The following is a 17,235-nucleotide window of genomic DNA, read 5'->3' on the forward strand; positions in this document are numbered from 1 at the left end:
GGGCAACAGAGCGAGACTCTGTCTCAAAAAAAAGCTGCCAATTGCTTGATTGGAATGCTTTCACTTAAAAATAATTCTGTTCTTATTGAGTGTCTGTTATTCTACTGGTTCTCAACTGAGGAGAGGGCCTCCTGGAGGCATATGGAATTGTGTAGGGGCATTTTTGGTTCTTCCAATGTCTTGAGATGTGCATTCCTGAAAAATATTAGGGGTAGCCAGGTATGGTAAATGTCCTGTTCAGAATACCAATATTAACTTAATACCTCATTAATACAGTTAATTATGTTCTTTTTTGGGCATCAATTCTGCTTTTAAGTATAGTTAATCCTTTAGTTATGGAGTCATTCATTTTTCTAGATTATGTCTTTCAAGATTCCTGAGAGAAACTGACTTATCCCTTTTAAAATCTTTGATTAATATACATACATACATATATATATATATATATATATATATATTTTTTTTTTTTTTTTTTTTTTTTTTTTTTTTCTTCTTCTTCTTGAGACAGAATTTCGCTCTGTTGCCCAGGCTGGAGTGAGTGCAGTGGCCCAATCTCGGCTCACTGCAACCTCCACCTCCCGAGTTCAAGCGATTCTCCTGCCTCAGCGTCCCGAGTAGCTGAGATTACAGCACATGCCACCATGCCCGGCTAATTTTTGTCTTTTTATTAGAGACAGGGTTTCACCACATTGGCCAGGCTGATCTCAAACTCCTGACATCAAGTGATCCACCCATCTTGGCCTCCCAAAGTGTTGGAATTACAGGCGTGAGCCCCCATGCCTGGCCTGAGTTGCTTGTGTTCTGACTATCAGAACTGAGTCATCTGGCTAAAGGGTGCCTGGGAAATGCAGTCTTTATGCATGGGTTCTTCTACTGAGAAAGAAGGAGAAAAACGATAAATACCAAGAGACAAATGATAAATATCAGTAGCTTCTTCATATGCCCCTACTTCAAATTCAGGTAGCTCCTTTTAATCTATTTTATACATTTTTGTGTGTGAGGCCTTTGAAAGGATTTTCCTGCTAAAAAGAGTTTGGGAACCATGGTGTGGTGCTGTGCTGTCTCTTCCTTGGGAATATTTGCTACTCATGCAAACACTAATCTTGATGTCTTGGCTCAGGAGTTGAATGACAAAATACAGATGCTCCTCAACTTATGATGGTGTCAGTCCTGAAAAACCCATCATAGGTTGGAAACAGCATTAACTCCAACATTCATTTAATTACAGCCAACCTCCCAAAATCTTAGCCTAGCCTAACCTGCCTTAAAGTGCTCAGAACACTTGTGTTAGCCTACATTTGGGCAAAATCATCTAACACAAAGTCTGGTTTATTACAACATACTGAGTATTTCATGTAATGTATTGAATCTGTGCTGAAAATGAAAAACAGAATGATTGTATTGGTATGCAAAGTGTGGTTTCTATAGAATGCATATAACTTTCACACCATCATAAAGCTGGAAAATCATAAAGTCAAACCGTTGTAAGTCAGGGACCATCTGTTTATAAAAAGCATAAACTCATTATTGTAACTTAATTATAAGCTGATGAGTATGCAAGAAATAAAAACCACTGTGACATTAACATAATTTAGGCATTAGTATCTTGGTTTTTCTGTTTTGTTTTGTTTTGTTTTTTTTTTTTTTTGAGATGGAACTTCGCTCTTGTTGCCCAGGCTGGAGTGCAATGGCGTGATCTCAGCTCACCGCAACCTCCACCTCCTGGGTTCAAGCAGTTCTCCTGCCTCAGCCTCCCGAGTAGCTGAGATTACAGGCGGCTGCCATCACACCCAGCTAATTTTGTATTTTTTGTAGAGATGGGGTTTCTCCATTTTGGTCAGGCTGGTCTTAAACTCCTGATCTCAGGTGATCTGCCCACCTCAGCCTCCCAAAGTGCTGGGATTATAGGCGTGAGCCACCATGCCCGGCTGGTTTTTCATTTTCTAGGTACCACTTTTTTTTTTAAATCAAGTGGTAATATGTTGTATTCTCTCAGTGTAAAAAGATGTAGAAGTGAAGCTGTAAACGAATGAAGCCTTGTTTATAGAAAACTACTGGTTTTTCTTTGTGTATTTGTTTTTTGATAGTTGATAATGTTATCAAGCAGGTTCTCTATATTAGCTTGAAATTTCACTTTGCCATTAGTATTTTTAAGTTTTACAGTTATAAAGCTCATTTATATTTTTGTTAGGTTGAATTGCTGGAAATGGAAAAGTCACAAATCCGTTCACAGTGTGAAGAACTCAAAACTGAAGTAGAACAGTTAAAATCTACAAATCAACAGACGGCAACAGATGTTTCAACATCAAGTAACATTGAGGAGTCTGTAAATCATATGGATGGAGAAAGGTAATATTAAATGAGGCGTTTTTGTGGGGCTGCAATTATGGTTAGGATACTATTTATTTTTATCTGCTAGCACCCATCAAATAGATACTGTTCTGTCAAAAGAAGTTATTGATGGTCTGCTGTGACCCTGGTGTTATGATAGATAAAAAAGAAGTGACACTTCATTATCCTTCCTTTCCAGTTTCTGACCCTTTAGGTTCTATTTAAGTGGAATAGGAATTTAGAAGGGATAAAGCATTTGATTGGTCAGAGTGGTTTTAGAATGCTTTTTGAAGGAAAATAAAAATGGACAAGATATTGAAGAATAGGGGGAATTTGGCCATGAGTAGAAGACAGGAGACTTTTACTGAAACTCACTCCTTCAACCTGTTTTTCTTTTATTGTCGTACTTGGTACCATGTCTTTATGGCTTGCTGTCCTTATTTCACTGTATGCTCACTCTAATCTTTTAGGAAATTGCAAAATTATTAAAAATTGCCATAGTACAGATGATATTAGGAAGAAGTCCTATTAAAACAAGTAGATAGGCCAGGCGTGGTGGCTCACACCTATAATTCTAGCACTTTGGGAGGCTGAGTTGGGCGGATCACCTGAGGTCAGGAGTTCAAGACCAGCCTGGCCAACATGGTGAAACCCTGTCTCTACTAAAAGTACAAAAATTAGCCGGGCGTGGTGGCAGGCGCCTGTAGTCCCAGCTACTCGGGAGGCTCAGGCAGGAGAATCGCTTGAACCTAGGAGGTGGAGGTTGCAGTGAGCCGAGATTGCGCCACTGCACTCCAGCCTGGGTGACAGAGCAAGACTCTGTCTTAAAACCAAGCGTGGTGCCTCATGCTTGTAATCCCAGCACTTTGGGAGGCCAAGATGGGTGGATCACTTGAGGTCAGGAGTTCGAGACCAGCCTGACCAACATGGTGAAACCCCGTCTCTACTAAAAATACAAAATTAGCTTGGCATGGTGGTGCACACCTGTAACCCCAGCTACTTGGGAGGCTGAGGCAGGAGAATCGCTTGAACCTGGGAGAAGGAGGTTGCAGTGAGCCAAGATCGCGCCATCACGCTGTGGCCTTGGCAACAAGAGCAAAACTCCGTCTCAAAAAAAAAAAAAGCTGGTATGGGAACGATTAAAGTATTATCAAAGGTCTAGTGGACTCTTACCATAAAAGCTCACAAAAAAACATGCTCAAAATCACATTCTCCGCATTATCAGACTAAGGAAGAACATCTTGATCCCTTCATAGATTTCCACTCGAGAAAAATCAGTATCTAAATTAAATATGGACTTATTATATTGTAGTGGGGTAGGGAACAAGAACAACTGTAACACTCATTTTATGTGTTTGCCATAATATTTGAAGCAAAAGCTGCCTTACAGTTTAGGTGTTTATTGCTTAAATACTTTTGGGCATTTTTTAAAAAGTCTAGAATGTTGATATTCATAAACTTGGAAGGCATAATTATCTTAATCTATGGTTTCCCAGTGTTTTCAGCAAACCATTGTTCTCTGTAAATGCACGGTAACTTAAGCATGTAATAGGATCAGAGCAGTCCTACAATTATTATTATTATTATTTTTTTGGAGACAGAGTCTTGATCTGATGCCCAGGCTGGAGTACAGTTGCATAATCTCGGCTCACTGCAACCTCTGCCTCCCAGGTTCAAGCAATTCTCCTGCCTCAGCCTCACCAGTAGCTGGGACTATAGGTGTGCGCCACCACGCCCAGCTACATTTTGTATTTTTAGGGAGAGACGGGGTTTCACCATGTTGATCAGGCTGGTCTTGAACTCCTGACCTCAGGCGATCTGCCCGCCTCAGCCTCCCAAAGTGCTGGGATTACAGGCGTGAACCTCTGTGCCCGGCGTAAAAAAAAAGCTGCTTTAACATTGTTTAACACAATGTTTTGCAAGCTTATTTGACCACAGAACCTTTTATTACCTCTTACACAACTATGGATATCTTATAGAACATGTTTTAGATAATTCTGGCTAAGCATGGTGGTTCATGCCTGTAATCCCAGCACTCTGAGGTGGGCAGAATGCTTGATTGAGCCCAGGAGTTTGAGACCAGCCTGGGCAATATAGTGAAACCCCATTGCTACAAATAATAATAATAAAAATTAACCGGGCATGGTGGTGTGGGCCTGTGCTTCCAGCTACTCAGGAGGCTGAGGTGGGAGAATTGCGTGAACCCTGGAGAGCAGTGGTGCCATCGCAGCTCACTGCAGCCTTGACCTCCTGGGCTCAGGTGATCCCCCACCTCACCCTCTTGAGAAGCTGAGACTACAGGTGTCGTCACCAAGCCCGGCTAATATTTTGTGTTTTTAGTAGAGTCAGGGTTTCACCATGTTGGCCAGGCTGGTCTCGAACTCCTGGGCTCCAGCGATCTCCCTCCTCGGCTTCACAAATGCTGGGAATACAGGCATGGGCAAGTGCACCTGACTCATAAAAGTGAATTATTAAAGTAAATTGAGTTCTCTAGGGGAGGTTTTGCTTTTCCTTTTGTTTAATTGTATATTATTCTACGGAGATTTGATTTTGATATTTTACTTTTTAAGGTCTACATGAATCTTAACTTGTAATGCTCATCTAATAAGTTACATATTTGTATTTGCAGCCTCAAACTCCGATCTCTTCGAGTTAACGTAGGACAACTGCTGGCTATGATTGTGCCTGATCTTGATCTTCAGCAAGTGAATTACGATGTTGATGTAGTTGATGAGATTTTAGGACAAGTTGTTGAACAAATGAGTGAAATCAGTAGTACTTAAAGTATATGTTATGTAAGATAAAATATTTGCTCAATTCTTTTGGTTGTACAGCTTTCAAAATATAATTAATTTTGTTTTATAGATATGATAGGCAACAGACTGAAAACCATAATCTTTACTGTATTCTATGCATTCAAATGTGGTCACAAATATTGTGGACACATTATCTTATGTTTTGAAATACCTGTGAATTGTTGGCATTGAGCAGCTGAAGCTAACTCATGACTCTGTTTTGAATGTAAATATTTGTAATTAAGCCTGCACATATTTTTTTATTGCCCTAGAGTACTCAAGTGTTTTTCACCAAGAGCTTTTCAGGTTGCCCCTAAGCTTTGTGCAATTTTTTCTGGTTCCCCAAAGTGTATTTTTCTCTAAGTCGAGGGCTATGCCATAATACAAATGGAAATGTTACCTTTGATTTTCTTATAAAGGAGTTTAAATAGGATTTTTAAATAATGTAGTAACACTCCTGATACAACTCTGGTTATAAGTGAATTGAGCATTAATGTTTCTTTTGTATAAATTCCTGTCCTGAAATATTTTATTCATGAAAATAAGGTAAGCAAAAACCAACTCCATTTTGCCAGGATTTTGTTGTGCTGAGATTGCCAATCACGGTTAAACACAAAGTGTTTTTATAGAATGAAGAAACAGTCTTTAACAGAAAAAAGGTATTGAAATATTAAATGGCCACCAAGTTTACTTTGAAGCCCATTTTTGGCTGTTTAGTCAGCATGAAGTGGGCATGATAATTTTTTAATATTTCTTTTTGTGAAATTTCCTGTACAGCCTTTTGTAGGATTACTACAGGTTAATGTGAGTTGAGGAAGACAGTCTTTCTCAAACAATACTACATACCTTTTATTATATTACAAACCTAAGTGTTTTATATCCTAGAGTCAAGGAACAAATTTCCTTAGGATTATAGTATTACATGCCATAAAATACTATGCTTTATTGGTCCCATGTTTTGTGCAATTTTAAAGAGATGGCTTTCTATTAAGTATAAACTATGTATATATAAGAACCATATTTTCCACAACTAAAATGTGCATTATTTTTTCCAAAGTTTTATCATTGCTATTTATTTTTACCTTTGTTTTTGAACATTCAATCCGTTCATTTTGTATGTATGCTTAATACGTGTCGGTCATATACAGTATTGAATTTTTACTGTATAGTAATTCTGGAAAGAGCAAATAAATGAAGATTGTTTTTATTTGCCTGATAAAGTAATTGAAAGTGTATTTTTGGTATGAAGCTGGTTTTCTGTCACAATTGTAATTTCCCAAATTTTAAAATATCTTATAATAAAATAAAAATATATGATGGCTAACTGTTCAAATGCTACTTTTAAAGACTTAATATTAACCTCAAATTATTTTAAAACTAAAAATGTATTCATTAGACCCTCAACTTGAGCTCATTTTAACTACTTTAATTGCAGTTTATTTTTTGAAGACTGTTTCCATTAAGACTGAGGCTGAGCTCCTCTTTCCTCAGAGCATGTATATTCTGTTTTCAAAAGCTTTTTCTCAGCCTGGCGCAGTGGCTCACGCCTGTAATCCCAGCACTTTGGGAGGCCGAGGCGGGCGGATCACCTGAGGTCGGGAGTTCAAGACCAGCCTGACTAACATGGAGAAATGCCGTCTCTGCTAAAAATACAAAATTAGCCGGGTGTGGTGATGCATGCCTGTAATCCCAGCTACTCAGGAGGCTGAGGCAGGAGAATCACTTGAACCTGGGAGGTGGAGGTTGCAGCGAGCCGAGATCACACCATTGCACTCCAGCCTGGGCAACAAGAGCGAAACTCCGTCTCAAAAAAAAAGGACTTTTCTTTGTATAAATCATTTACTCTAGAGAAACCTTGCCTAAATAATAGCAGCTATGTAAATCATATGTAAGTTTTGTGAATATCTAACTCATGCAGTGGTTCTTTTTGGAATTTGCTATTTTTCCCTTCCTTTTGGCCAGCTTCTCTATGTATTCTTGCAAAAATATTTCCTGTAGCTGTCTGGCTTGATGGGAAAATTAATCATGGGATTAGTAAGAGAAACTTGCTTGCTAAATTGATTCTTTGGAAGCACTTAGATACTTTTTGCTCTTTATGAAGATATTGAAGTATTGCCAAGATATGAGACTTCGAAAATGTGGCTCACAGTTGCAGACAGAACAACTGTTGTTTAACAGAACAACGTGGGCTTTCATGATGTATGTACCTTTCTCTTTCTTTTGTTGCATGTGGGGGACAGTATTGCTTCAACTAATGTTTATTACTTTAAAACACGAAAGGTATGAGGAAGTAAACCAAAACAGTCCACAGTCTTCAAACAGGACCTAGGGTGGCAAAATCAGTGAAAGCTGAGTGAGCACACAGAGCAGGAGGGCATGGCACGTCCCTGTGTGCTTCCTTTGGGCCTCAAATTCTTCATGTGGCAGGTCCAGTTGGTGACGCTGCCTGTGATCTCAGACGCTTGATTCTTGCTGTCACATGAGACGTCTTAAACTTGGGTCATACATCATTGAGGAATCATTTAAGTTCTCACCTCTGGCTGCGTAGTAGAATTACTTGGGGAGTTTTTTAAACTCCCAAAGTCAGGCTGCACCTCACGTTAATTAAGTCAGCGTCCTTGGGGTTAGACCCAGATAACAGTATTTTTCAAGGCCTCCCGGGTTAATTCCAGTGCACCATCAGAGCCAAGCACTGTTGAGTTGTGTCTTCTGTTGAGTATTTATAAATGTTGAACTTGAGTGGTTCACGAAACAAACGGGATCAGCATATCCACTTTCTCACTGGGGCAAGCAGGGGGAGGGAGGGGAAGCAGAGCGGTGCCCCGGTAGAGATGTAAATGAACAGTGAAAAGACTTTCTCCACGGCCTCTAAAGGTAACCACTATTGGCTTTTGTGTGCATACATGCACACATTCATGTGTATGTATTTTATTTACATTAAATTGCGTATATTTGTGTCGATATTTACACAGTGGGATTATACCATATAATTGATAACTAAACATTTCCATATCATTCTTTCAAAAAGCTTAAGTAACATTTCATCATAGGAATATGCTCCTAATGGTTACTTACTTACTTACTTTTCGTTAGAAAGAATATACTGGCTGGGCGCAGTGGCTCGTGCCTGTAATCCCAGCACTTTGGGAGGCCAAGGTGGGTGGATCATGAGGTCAGGAGATCGAGACCATCCTGGCCAACATGGTAAAACCCCATCTCTACTAAAAATACAAAAATTAGCTGGGCGTGGTGGTGGGCTCCTGTAATCCCAGCTACTTGGGAGGCTGAGGCAGGAGAATCACTTAACCCCAGGAGGCAGAGGTTGCAGTGAGCCGAGATCACACCACTGCACTCCAGACTGGTGACAGAGCGAGACTCCGTCTCAAAGTATACTGTGAAGATTAATACATACCACACATGATTTTCCGATTAAATCCAGAGTGTAAATTGTTAACAGTGAATATTGATAGGTCAAAGAATGTATGCCATGTACATTTAAATAAATATTGCCATCCAAAAAAAGGTTGCAGGAATTTATACTTAGGATGAGTAATAAATATGAGTGTTTTCCTCAAAGTCTCTCAAACTTACTTTTGCTAATTTGATATGTGAAAATATGACAGCTGACATTTGTCTCAGTCCTTACATTGGCCATTTTAATTTTCTGTGTTTTATACATGTTCTTTGCCTATTCTTTTCCACTGTGTTCTTGTCTTCTTGCTGTAAAGAAGCTGAAAGCTTGTGTTAATTTGGCCACACACCACCCAAAAACTACCCAGACACACTACCCATTTCTTCCTATTTCAGAAAATCCACAGTAGGTTGTCTTTTTTTTTTTTTTTTTTTTTTTTTTTTTGAGACAGGGTTTCATTCTGTTGCCCAGGCTAGAGTGCAGTGGTGTGATCATGGCTTACTGCAGCCTCAACCTCCGAGGCCCAAATGCTCCAGCTGCCTCAGCCTCCCGAGTAGCTGGCACTAGAGGCGTGCACCACCATGCCCAGCTAATTTTTCTATTTTTTGTAGAGATGGGGTTTCGCCATGTCCAGGCTGGTCTTAAGCTCCTGGACTCAAGCAGTCCACCCTTCTGGGCCTCCCAAATTGTTGGGATTACAGGCATTTGAGCCACCGCGCCTGACTGGTTAAGTCCTATTTTGTGCAGTGTCTCATAAACAGGGACTCACTGAAGTGGCTTGAAAATCTAAATAGAATCCTATCTGCATATTTGTCTGTTGAATGTTGGTCACAGCTCACAAGATGAATGCTATTAATATCTGATTGGCGTAGAGGAAAAAATAAATCTGTTGCTTTTTAGAATTGTCTATTGATCACAGAGTTAACTTTCACATACTAGCCTGTAGGAAGAAAGTCTGGTTAAGAGTTAACAAGAAACCTTTTAAAGCCACAATTTCTTAGAGAGTCATCAGGACTCAATGTCTTGGTAACAAGACAGAATAAATTTAAATTTGAATATAAAGGACTTTTATCCCAACCTGGCTAACAATATTTAGGTTATGTATGTGCTTGATATGTGAATATCTAGAATTTGGCTGTAGTTCGTTTTTTTTTTTTTTTTTTTTTTTTTTTTTTTTTTTTTTTGAGACAAAGTATCATTCTGTTGCCCAGGCTGGAGTGCAGTGGCATGATCACAGTTCACTGCAGCCTCAACCTCTCAGGCTCAAGTGACCTCCCACCTCAGCCCCCACGAGTAGTAGGAACTACAGGCACATGCCACTGCGCCCAGCTAATTTTTGAATATTTTGTAGAGACTGGGTTTGCCATGTTGCCCAGGCTGCTCCAACTTCTGGCCTAAAGCCATCTGCCCGCCTCGGCCTCCCAAAATGCTGGGATTACAGGCGTGAGCCATCACGCCCAGCTGGCTGTATCTTCATAACAAAATGTAATGGTGTTTTATATTCACAAAGGAGTCAAGTCTTCCTAATCTCCCATGGGGTTCCTGTTGGAAGTGAGGCTCTTGGTTTGTACTGTGATCTGAACCATGACTGAATTAAGGTAATTTGAGTATAGAATTTTTTCTGTTCTAGGCAATTGTCTCTTGTTTTGTGACTCCCTTGGTGGGAATCTCTCTCAAAATGTGATATTCATGGAGGCAACTGAAGTACCAGCAAGCTTGTCCAACCTGCCTTGCTTGGTTGTGTTTTTTTAGTTTTTTTTCCCCAGGCTGGTCTCAAGAACTTCTGGGCTCAAGGGATCTGCTCACATTGGCCTCCCAAAGTGTTGGGATTACAGGCATGAACCACTGCTTCTGGCTTTAAATATATATATATTTTTTGAGACAGGCTCTTGCTTTGTCACCCAGGCTCGAGTAGCAGTGGCGCGATCACAGCTCACTACAGCCGCAATCTCCCGGGCTCAGGTAATCCTCCCACCTCAGCCTCCTGGGTAGCCAGGACCACAGGCACACACCACTATGCCCAGCTAATTTTCGTATTTTTTGTGGAGACAGATTTTTGACTTGTTGCCCAGGCTGGTCTCAAAATTCCTGGGCTCAAGCGATGCACTCCCCCACCTCTTAACCTCCTAAAGTGTGGGGATTACAGGAATGAGCCCTAACTTAGGGTTTTGTTTTTTTTGTTTGTTTGTTTTTCTGTACTCTGTATACTCCAGGGTATTTCAGATGTAAGGTATTTCAATACATCTAATAAATTTCCTGGTCTAGACTTGGTGACAGCCATTTCTCCAAAAGTTCTGCTTCATTTTGTGGGAAATGCTATTTGAAGATAATAATCTAGGCACAGATATAGTCATTGTTTCTAGTTAGGCCATTTCTTTTTCTTCTTCTTCTTTTTTTTTTTTTTTTTTTTTTTTCTTTTGCGACAGGTCTTGCTCTGTTGCCCAGGCTGGAGTACAATGGCATAATCATAGCTCACTACATCCTCAAACTCCTGGGCTCAAGTGCTTCGCCTTCCTCAGCCTCCCAAGTACCTGGGACTATAGGTGCATGCCACCATGCCTGGCTGATTTTTTTTTTTTTTTTCTAGATACGGAGTCTTGCTACGTTGCCCACGCTGGTCTTGAACTCCTGGGCTCAAGTGATCCTCCTGCTTCAGCCTCCCAAAATGTTGATATTACCGGCATAAGCCACTGTGCCTGGCCTAGTTTGGGCATTTCTAGGCCTTTTTAGTAGACTGAACTAAAAGAGACTATAATATAGTCTCTTTTGCTGAAAATCTGGGTTCCTAACCACACAAGTATTTGCTCTTCCTAATGTATACATAAATACATAGGTATGCATATATGTAACAATACCAATATTTTCTAGCCATAGTATGACTGAAGGTAAGCTTTCTTTGGGGTAGTATAAAATTTCTGTGTTTGCCAATCACTTGAAATAATAACTCCTTGTGTGCATCACACACATCCATGTTGCTGCCTGTGTCAGTCAGTGTAGAGTTCTCCAGAAAATCGGAGCCCAATATGATAGATGCAAGAGATTGATCAGGAGGAGTGGCTTAAGTGGTTATGGAGTCTGAGAAGTCCCATGATCTGCTGTCTGCAAGATGGAGACCCAAGAAAGCCTGTGGTATAACTTAGTCCCACTCCAAAGCCCTGAGAACCAGGGACACCAGTGGCATAAGTCCTGGAGTCAAAAGACCTGAGAACCAGGAGCTCTGATGTCTGAGGGTGGAAGAGGATGTCCCAACTCAAGAAGAGACAGAATTTGCCCTTCCTCTACTTTTTGTTCTTTTCAGACTCAACAGGTTGGATGATGCCCCAGATACTGCCCAGGTTGGTGAGGGCGGATCTTCTGTACTCAGTCTACTGATTCAAATGCTAAAGTCTTCCAGAAACACCCTCATAGTCAGAAGTAATGTTGACCACCTATCGGGTATGTCTTAGCCCGGGCAAACTGAGGCATAAAATTAACTATCACAGTATTTCTTTTGGATTACCGAGTAGAATACCGTGGTATGAATATGGCACAGTCTGATTACCTTTTCTCCTGTGGGTGGACATTTGGTGTCTTTCTAGTTTGGGGCTATTATGGATAATGATTCTTGTATGAGTTTGCTTTTGTTTTCCTGATATATATGCCAAGGAGTGGAATTGCTGAGTCATAGGGTAGGCGTATCATTAACTTTATTAGACAGTGCTGAACAGTTTTCTAAAGTATTTACATCAGTTTACACTTCCACCAGTAGTGTGCCAGAGGTCCCGTTGTTCTCAATCTCCTGTATTGATTTCCGTCATTTCTATTTTTCTTTTTCTTTCTTTTTTTTTTTTTTTTTTTCAGACTGAGTCTGTTTCTGTCGCCCAGACTGGAGTGCAGTGGCATGATCTTGGCTCACTGCCCTCTGGGTTCAAGTGATTCTAGTGCCTCAGCCTCCGAGTAGCTGGGATTACAGGCGCCACCACCATGCCTGGCTGTTATTATTATTATTATTATTATTATTTTTGAGATGGAGTTCTGCTCTTGTTGCCCAGGCTGGAGTGCAATGGCGCAATCTCGGCTCACTGCAATCTCCGCCTCCCAGGTTGAAACGATTCTCTGGCCTCAGCCTCCTGAGTAGCTGGGATTACAGGTGCCTGCCACCGCGCCTGACCTATTTTTTCTATTTTTAGTAGAGATGGGGTTTCACCATGTTGGCCAGGCTGGTCTCAAATTCCTGACCTCAAGTGATCCGCCCGCTTCAGCCTCCCAGATGCTGCAATTACAGGCGTGAGCCACTACGCCTGGCTTCTCCTAGTTTTCTTATTCTGATATTTGCTCAACATTTTTTTCCAACCCTGTACTGAATTTTGTATGTCTGTTATCAAAGCTTTTTTTTTTTTTTTTTTTGAGACAGAATCTCACTCTGCCACCCAGGCTGGAGTGCAGTGGTGCCATCTCAGCTCACTGCAACCTCCAAGTCCCGGGTTCAATGGATTCTCTTGCCTCAGCCTCCCTAGTATCCCGAGTAGCTGGGATTACAGGCACACACTACCACTCTGTATAGTTTTTGTATTTTTATAGAGAAGGGGTTTTGCCATGTTGGCCAGGCTGGTCTGGAACTCCTAGCCTCAAGCAATCTGCCTGCTTTGGCCTCCCAAAGCGTTGGGATTATAGATGTGAGCCACCATGCCCGGCTCAGATTTTGATTTTAGAATGTTCACACTTACAAATGGAAATTAAAATGCCTTGAGAAGTTTTTTTTCGAAGCTGAGTTAAGAGTTAGTCCCTTTATATCAATTTTCATTATTAAAAAGTTCTCAGGAACCAAATAACATTGGTCCCCTTAAATTGAGGCAGTTCTGCTCAAAATGGATGCTTGGGGCCCAAGCTGAACAACAGTGGTTGTTGAGGAATCTAGTTAGAATTGCGTTATAGGAATTCCCTTTTTTTTTTTTTTTTTTTTTTTTGAGACAGAGTCTCGCTCTCTCGCCCAGGCTGGAGTGCAGTGGCACGATCTCGGCTCACTGCAAGCCCCGCTTCCCGGGTTCACGCCATTGTCTTGCCTCAGCCTCCCGAGTAGCTGGGACTACAGGCGCCCGCCGCCACGCCCGACTAATTTTTTGTAATTTTTGTAGAGATGGGGTTTCACCATGTTAGCCAGGATGGCCTCGATCTCCTGACCTCATGATCCGCCCACCTCGGCCTCCTAAAGTGCTGGGATTACAGGCGTGAGCTACCGCGACCGGCAGGAATTCTTTAGTCCAACATTTGTGGTGCAAACTTTGAGGTTTTGAACAAATACTTTTTTTTTTTTTTTTGAGAAAATATTTGACAGCCCAGGGCCTCTCTCTAGAGCCGCATCCCCTGCCCGTGTTGGCTCATCAAGTTGGCACTGAAGTCGGATCTCTAAAATGTTCGCCAAGAAAGCCAACTCCTTCATGTACTTTTAATACTTAAAGCATGTGTTTTTATCTTTTAAATCCACAGTTCAGAGTCGTGACACTTCAAGAGGTGGGCAGATTATTCATTTGTGAATGAACAGCATTTATGAGAAATTTGGAGAAATTTTATGTTTGAGAGACACGAAGAATCCAGAGCTTTCCAAAACAGACTGATGATCACACCCACCGGGGAGTTTATGAAAATGCAAGCCCCTGGAGCACGGGCCTCTGCTGGATATTCGGAATCATGGGGCTGAGTAGGGCCAGGAATCTGTACTTTTAGAACAGCCATATTATCTAAAGTATATAGTCATTCCCAGTCCAAGCTCTGTAAATCCTGAAGAGAAAAATCTAAAAACTGCATATCCGGATTATGTTATTCTAGCTTCCTGTAGAAATCAGGCTTCAAGGAGCATACAGCCATTCTCATCAACATGAGACACGGATTTGTAGGCAATTTCTGTACCTTTCATAAAGCTGGCTAAAAGCATCAGCCGGTATTTATATAAGAATCCATGTCTGTTCTTTTTTTCCAAAAATCCTAGAGCAGTTGGCTCCTCAGATAACCCTGTGTGTTTCTTTTATCCAGTAAAAGCAGCGCATCCAGAGGTACTTGTTTCCTGGCCTTCTGCGAAGCCCACAGATAAATTAGGTCTCATTTGGAAACGTCCCATTTCGAAAAGCCTGAGGTATCTATCTCTGCCTACCGACTGATTTACAGCCTCACTTTAAAATGTTAGTCTGTTCTTAAAAAGGGTTTATAACTGCATCTACTATAATAATAAAATGTAAGCAACCTTGCGCTAGGTACTGAACAATTTCATAGCTTTGAACTCTCCAAAATGTTCTAGAAGCCAATACAGAAAACCCAAAAATCTCAGTTTTTGTTTGCAGAAGGGGCAAGAGAACCGGTTGTGTTAGCCCTCCAAGTGCCCAGCGCCAGCATAGGGTCTGTCTAACACACAGCCCAGGCTCTGTAAACCTTTGCTAAAAGAGCGAATCAACAAGGAATAAGTAATGGATAATAATAATAAATAATAATGAATCCATTCTTCCTTCGGTCGTGGGTCTGGCAGGCATAAATTCCGGCCGGGATTCCGACCCCAGGGCCAGAGCAGGACTCGCCTTGGCGTCTATGAGTGGGCGGGGCTTCCCTGGGGTACCGCCCACGTCGGGCGGGACCTGAGGGCCGCTGGAGGGGCGGGGCGTCTATGAGGTCCCGCCCATGCGGGGGCGGGGCCTGCGGCGCGCGGGAAGCGGCGCGCGCTGCGCGGGAGGTGACGGTGCCTCTGACTGTCCGGGTCCCTCCAGGTACGGCTTCCCTGGCCCGGGCAGCTCCGCGGCTCTTTTGGTCGCGTCGGTCCGGGCCAGAGGCCCTCGCCGAGGGCGGGCCCCTGGGCCCCGGGATAGCTCCGGAGCGGCGCGCGTTGGGGCGGCGGGGCCCCGTCCACCCCCGGCCCCGCGCGGCCTCCTCCCGGCGGCCTCAGTCCCAGCTTCCCGGGCCCAGCGCCCGGTCCCTGGGAAAGGCGGGGTTCTCCTCTCGCCCCGCCGCCCCGGTCCCCTACCCCGTTTGGCCCCCTCTTCCGGGAGGCTCCTCCCGGGGCGGGCCCCTCCCCGGGCTCTCAGGGCGCGCCCCTAGCCCCTACTAAGCGGGGACAGGCCGTGCAGACGGCCGGGGCCCCTAGGTAGCCTTTACCTGGGTGTTTCGTTTTGCTTTTCTGGATGTAGCGGCGTATCATAAACTTGTGGATGTCAGGACCCAGCGAAGCATTTTAGGTGGAGCTAGCAAGGTGTTATTGTCAGATGGCAACGTTAACATCCTTTCCCAATGCAGTGTGCATTTTAAATGGCTCCTGGCCCCTATTCAGCGCTCAATAACCCTTTGCTGCTGTTAACACTGTTGTTTAATCCATCACCAGCATTTTGCAGCTTTCTCCTGTCTTGAAGAAGTAGAACGGTGCCCGAGAAACGTTTTTCCCCTTCGAGACTCAGGAGGATGAAAGTCATCACTTGTGAAATAGCCTGGCACAACAAGGAGCCCGTGTACAGCCTGGACTTCCAGCATGGGACGGCTGGGAGGATCCACAGACTGGCGTCTGCCGGCGTGGACACCAATGTCAGGGTAAACTGGGGCAGAGATAGACATCCGGGAACACTGCTTGAAGCAATAGTTTTCATTCTTTTACTTAAAACCAGTGTCGGCTGGGCGCGGTGGCTTACGCCTGTAATCCCAGTGCTTTGGGAGGCTGAGGTGAGAGGATCGCTTGAGTCCAGGAGTTCGACACCAGCCTGGGCAACAGCCAGACATGAAAAAGTAGCGGGACGTGGCAGTGTGCAGCTGTAGGCCCAGCTACTTGGGAAGTTGAAGTGAGAGGATCGCTTGAGCCTAGGAGTTTGAAGCAAGCAACGATCACTCCACTGCACTCCAGCCTGGGTGACAGAGCCAGACCCTTCTCTTAAGTAAATGAATGAATGAATTAACGTATGTCAACAAACTAAACTACTTTGTCATCTAGCCCAGAATGCTAAATTTCCAGGGCCTGCGGTGAACAATGAAAGCAAAAGAGAGCTGCTTTCTTTTTTTTTTTTTTGAGACGGAGTCTTGCTCTGTTGCCCAGGTGGGAGTGCAGTGGTGCAATCTCGACTTACTGCAACCTCTGTCTCCCAGGTTCAAGCTATTCTCCTGCCTCAGCCTCCCAAATAACTGGGACTACAGCCGCTCATCACCACACCTGGCTAATTTTTGTATTTTTAGTAGAGATGGGGTTTTACCATGTTGGCCAGGCTGGTCTCAAACTCCTGACCTCAGGTGATCCACCCACCTTGGCCTCCCAAAGTGCTGGGATTACAGGCCTGAGCCACCATGCCCGGCTCTGCTTTCTTATTTGATTCATTTTCCCTAGATTATTGTAACTGGACGTTCATTGTTTTGGGATCCTGATCCTGGTTCCTACTGGGTAACAAGTTGCTCTAGAAAGAAGGCGGAGGGGGACAGTAGACATTTATGTTTTAGATAGGGAGTTCTTTGATTTTATGTTTCAAAAGAAAAACTAAGTTTTCTTTCTGAAAATAAGCATAGTTTTGTTTTTTTTTTTTTTTTGAGACAGGGTCTTACTCTGTCGCCCAGGCTGGAGTGCAGTGGCCTGATCTTGGCTCAGTGCAGCCCCGACCCGGGGCTCAAGTGATCCTCCCTCTTAAGCCTCCCGCATAACTGGAACTACAGGCATGTGCCATCACACTTGGCTAATTTTTTAAATTTTCTGTAGAGACTAGGTCT

General features: G+C 42.9%; 2 protein-coding genes across 4 annotated transcripts in view, besides 4 other annotated features; both read left to right on the forward strand.

Moving 5' to 3' along the window:
* Positions 1-6,450, forward strand: part of MORC3 (MORC family CW-type zinc finger 3) — a 56,436-nt gene extending 49,986 nt beyond the window's left edge. For all 3 annotated transcript variants that reach the window (NM_001320446.2, NM_015358.3, NM_001320445.2), the window contains 2 exons: positions 2,192-2,349; positions 4,961-6,450. In NM_001320446.2, coding sequence (NP_001307375.1) covers positions 2,192-2,349; positions 4,961-5,114 — 312 coding nt within the window. In that variant the 3' untranslated portion in view covers positions 5,115-6,450. The remainder of the gene's footprint in view (positions 1-2,191; positions 2,350-4,960) is intronic.
* Positions 15,042-15,411: a silencer, noted in NCBI's record as "silent region_13285". NCBI's record gives its function as "represses an Ori minimal core promoter by ATAC-STARR-seq in GM12878 lymphoblastoid cells {active_cell/tissue: GM12878}" and the evidence as "EXISTENCE:reporter gene assay evidence [ECO:0000049][PMID:35858748]".
* Positions 15,210-17,235, forward strand: part of CHAF1B (chromatin assembly factor 1 subunit B) — a 33,624-nt gene continuing 31,598 nt past the window's right edge. The window contains exons 1-2 of the mRNA NM_005441.3: positions 15,210-15,269; positions 15,878-16,080. Coding sequence (NP_005432.1) covers positions 15,955-16,080 — 126 coding nt within the window. The 5' untranslated portion in view covers positions 15,210-15,269; positions 15,878-15,954. The remainder of the gene's footprint in view (positions 15,270-15,877; positions 16,081-17,235) is intronic.
* Positions 15,442-15,541: a silencer, noted in NCBI's record as "silent region_13286". NCBI's record gives its function as "represses an Ori minimal core promoter by ATAC-STARR-seq in GM12878 lymphoblastoid cells {active_cell/tissue: GM12878}" and the evidence as "EXISTENCE:reporter gene assay evidence [ECO:0000049][PMID:35858748]".
* Positions 15,661-16,162: an enhancer, noted in NCBI's record as "H3K4me1 hESC enhancer chr21:37758141-37758642 (GRCh37/hg19 assembly coordinates)". NCBI's record gives its function as "activates a minimal SCP1, AML or CMV promoter by ChIP-STARR-seq in primed H9 embryonic stem cells {active_cell/tissue: H9 hESC(primed)}" and the evidence as "EXISTENCE:reporter gene assay evidence [ECO:0000049][PMID:30033119]".
* Positions 16,163-16,662: an enhancer, noted in NCBI's record as "H3K4me1 hESC enhancer chr21:37758643-37759142 (GRCh37/hg19 assembly coordinates)". NCBI's record gives its function as "activates a minimal SCP1, AML or CMV promoter by ChIP-STARR-seq in primed H9 embryonic stem cells {active_cell/tissue: H9 hESC(primed)}" and the evidence as "EXISTENCE:reporter gene assay evidence [ECO:0000049][PMID:30033119]".

This window comes from Homo sapiens, chromosome 21, assembly GCF_000001405.40.
Source record: "Homo sapiens chromosome 21, GRCh38.p14 Primary Assembly".
Taxonomy (NCBI): Eukaryota; Metazoa; Chordata; class Mammalia; order Primates; family Hominidae; genus Homo; species Homo sapiens.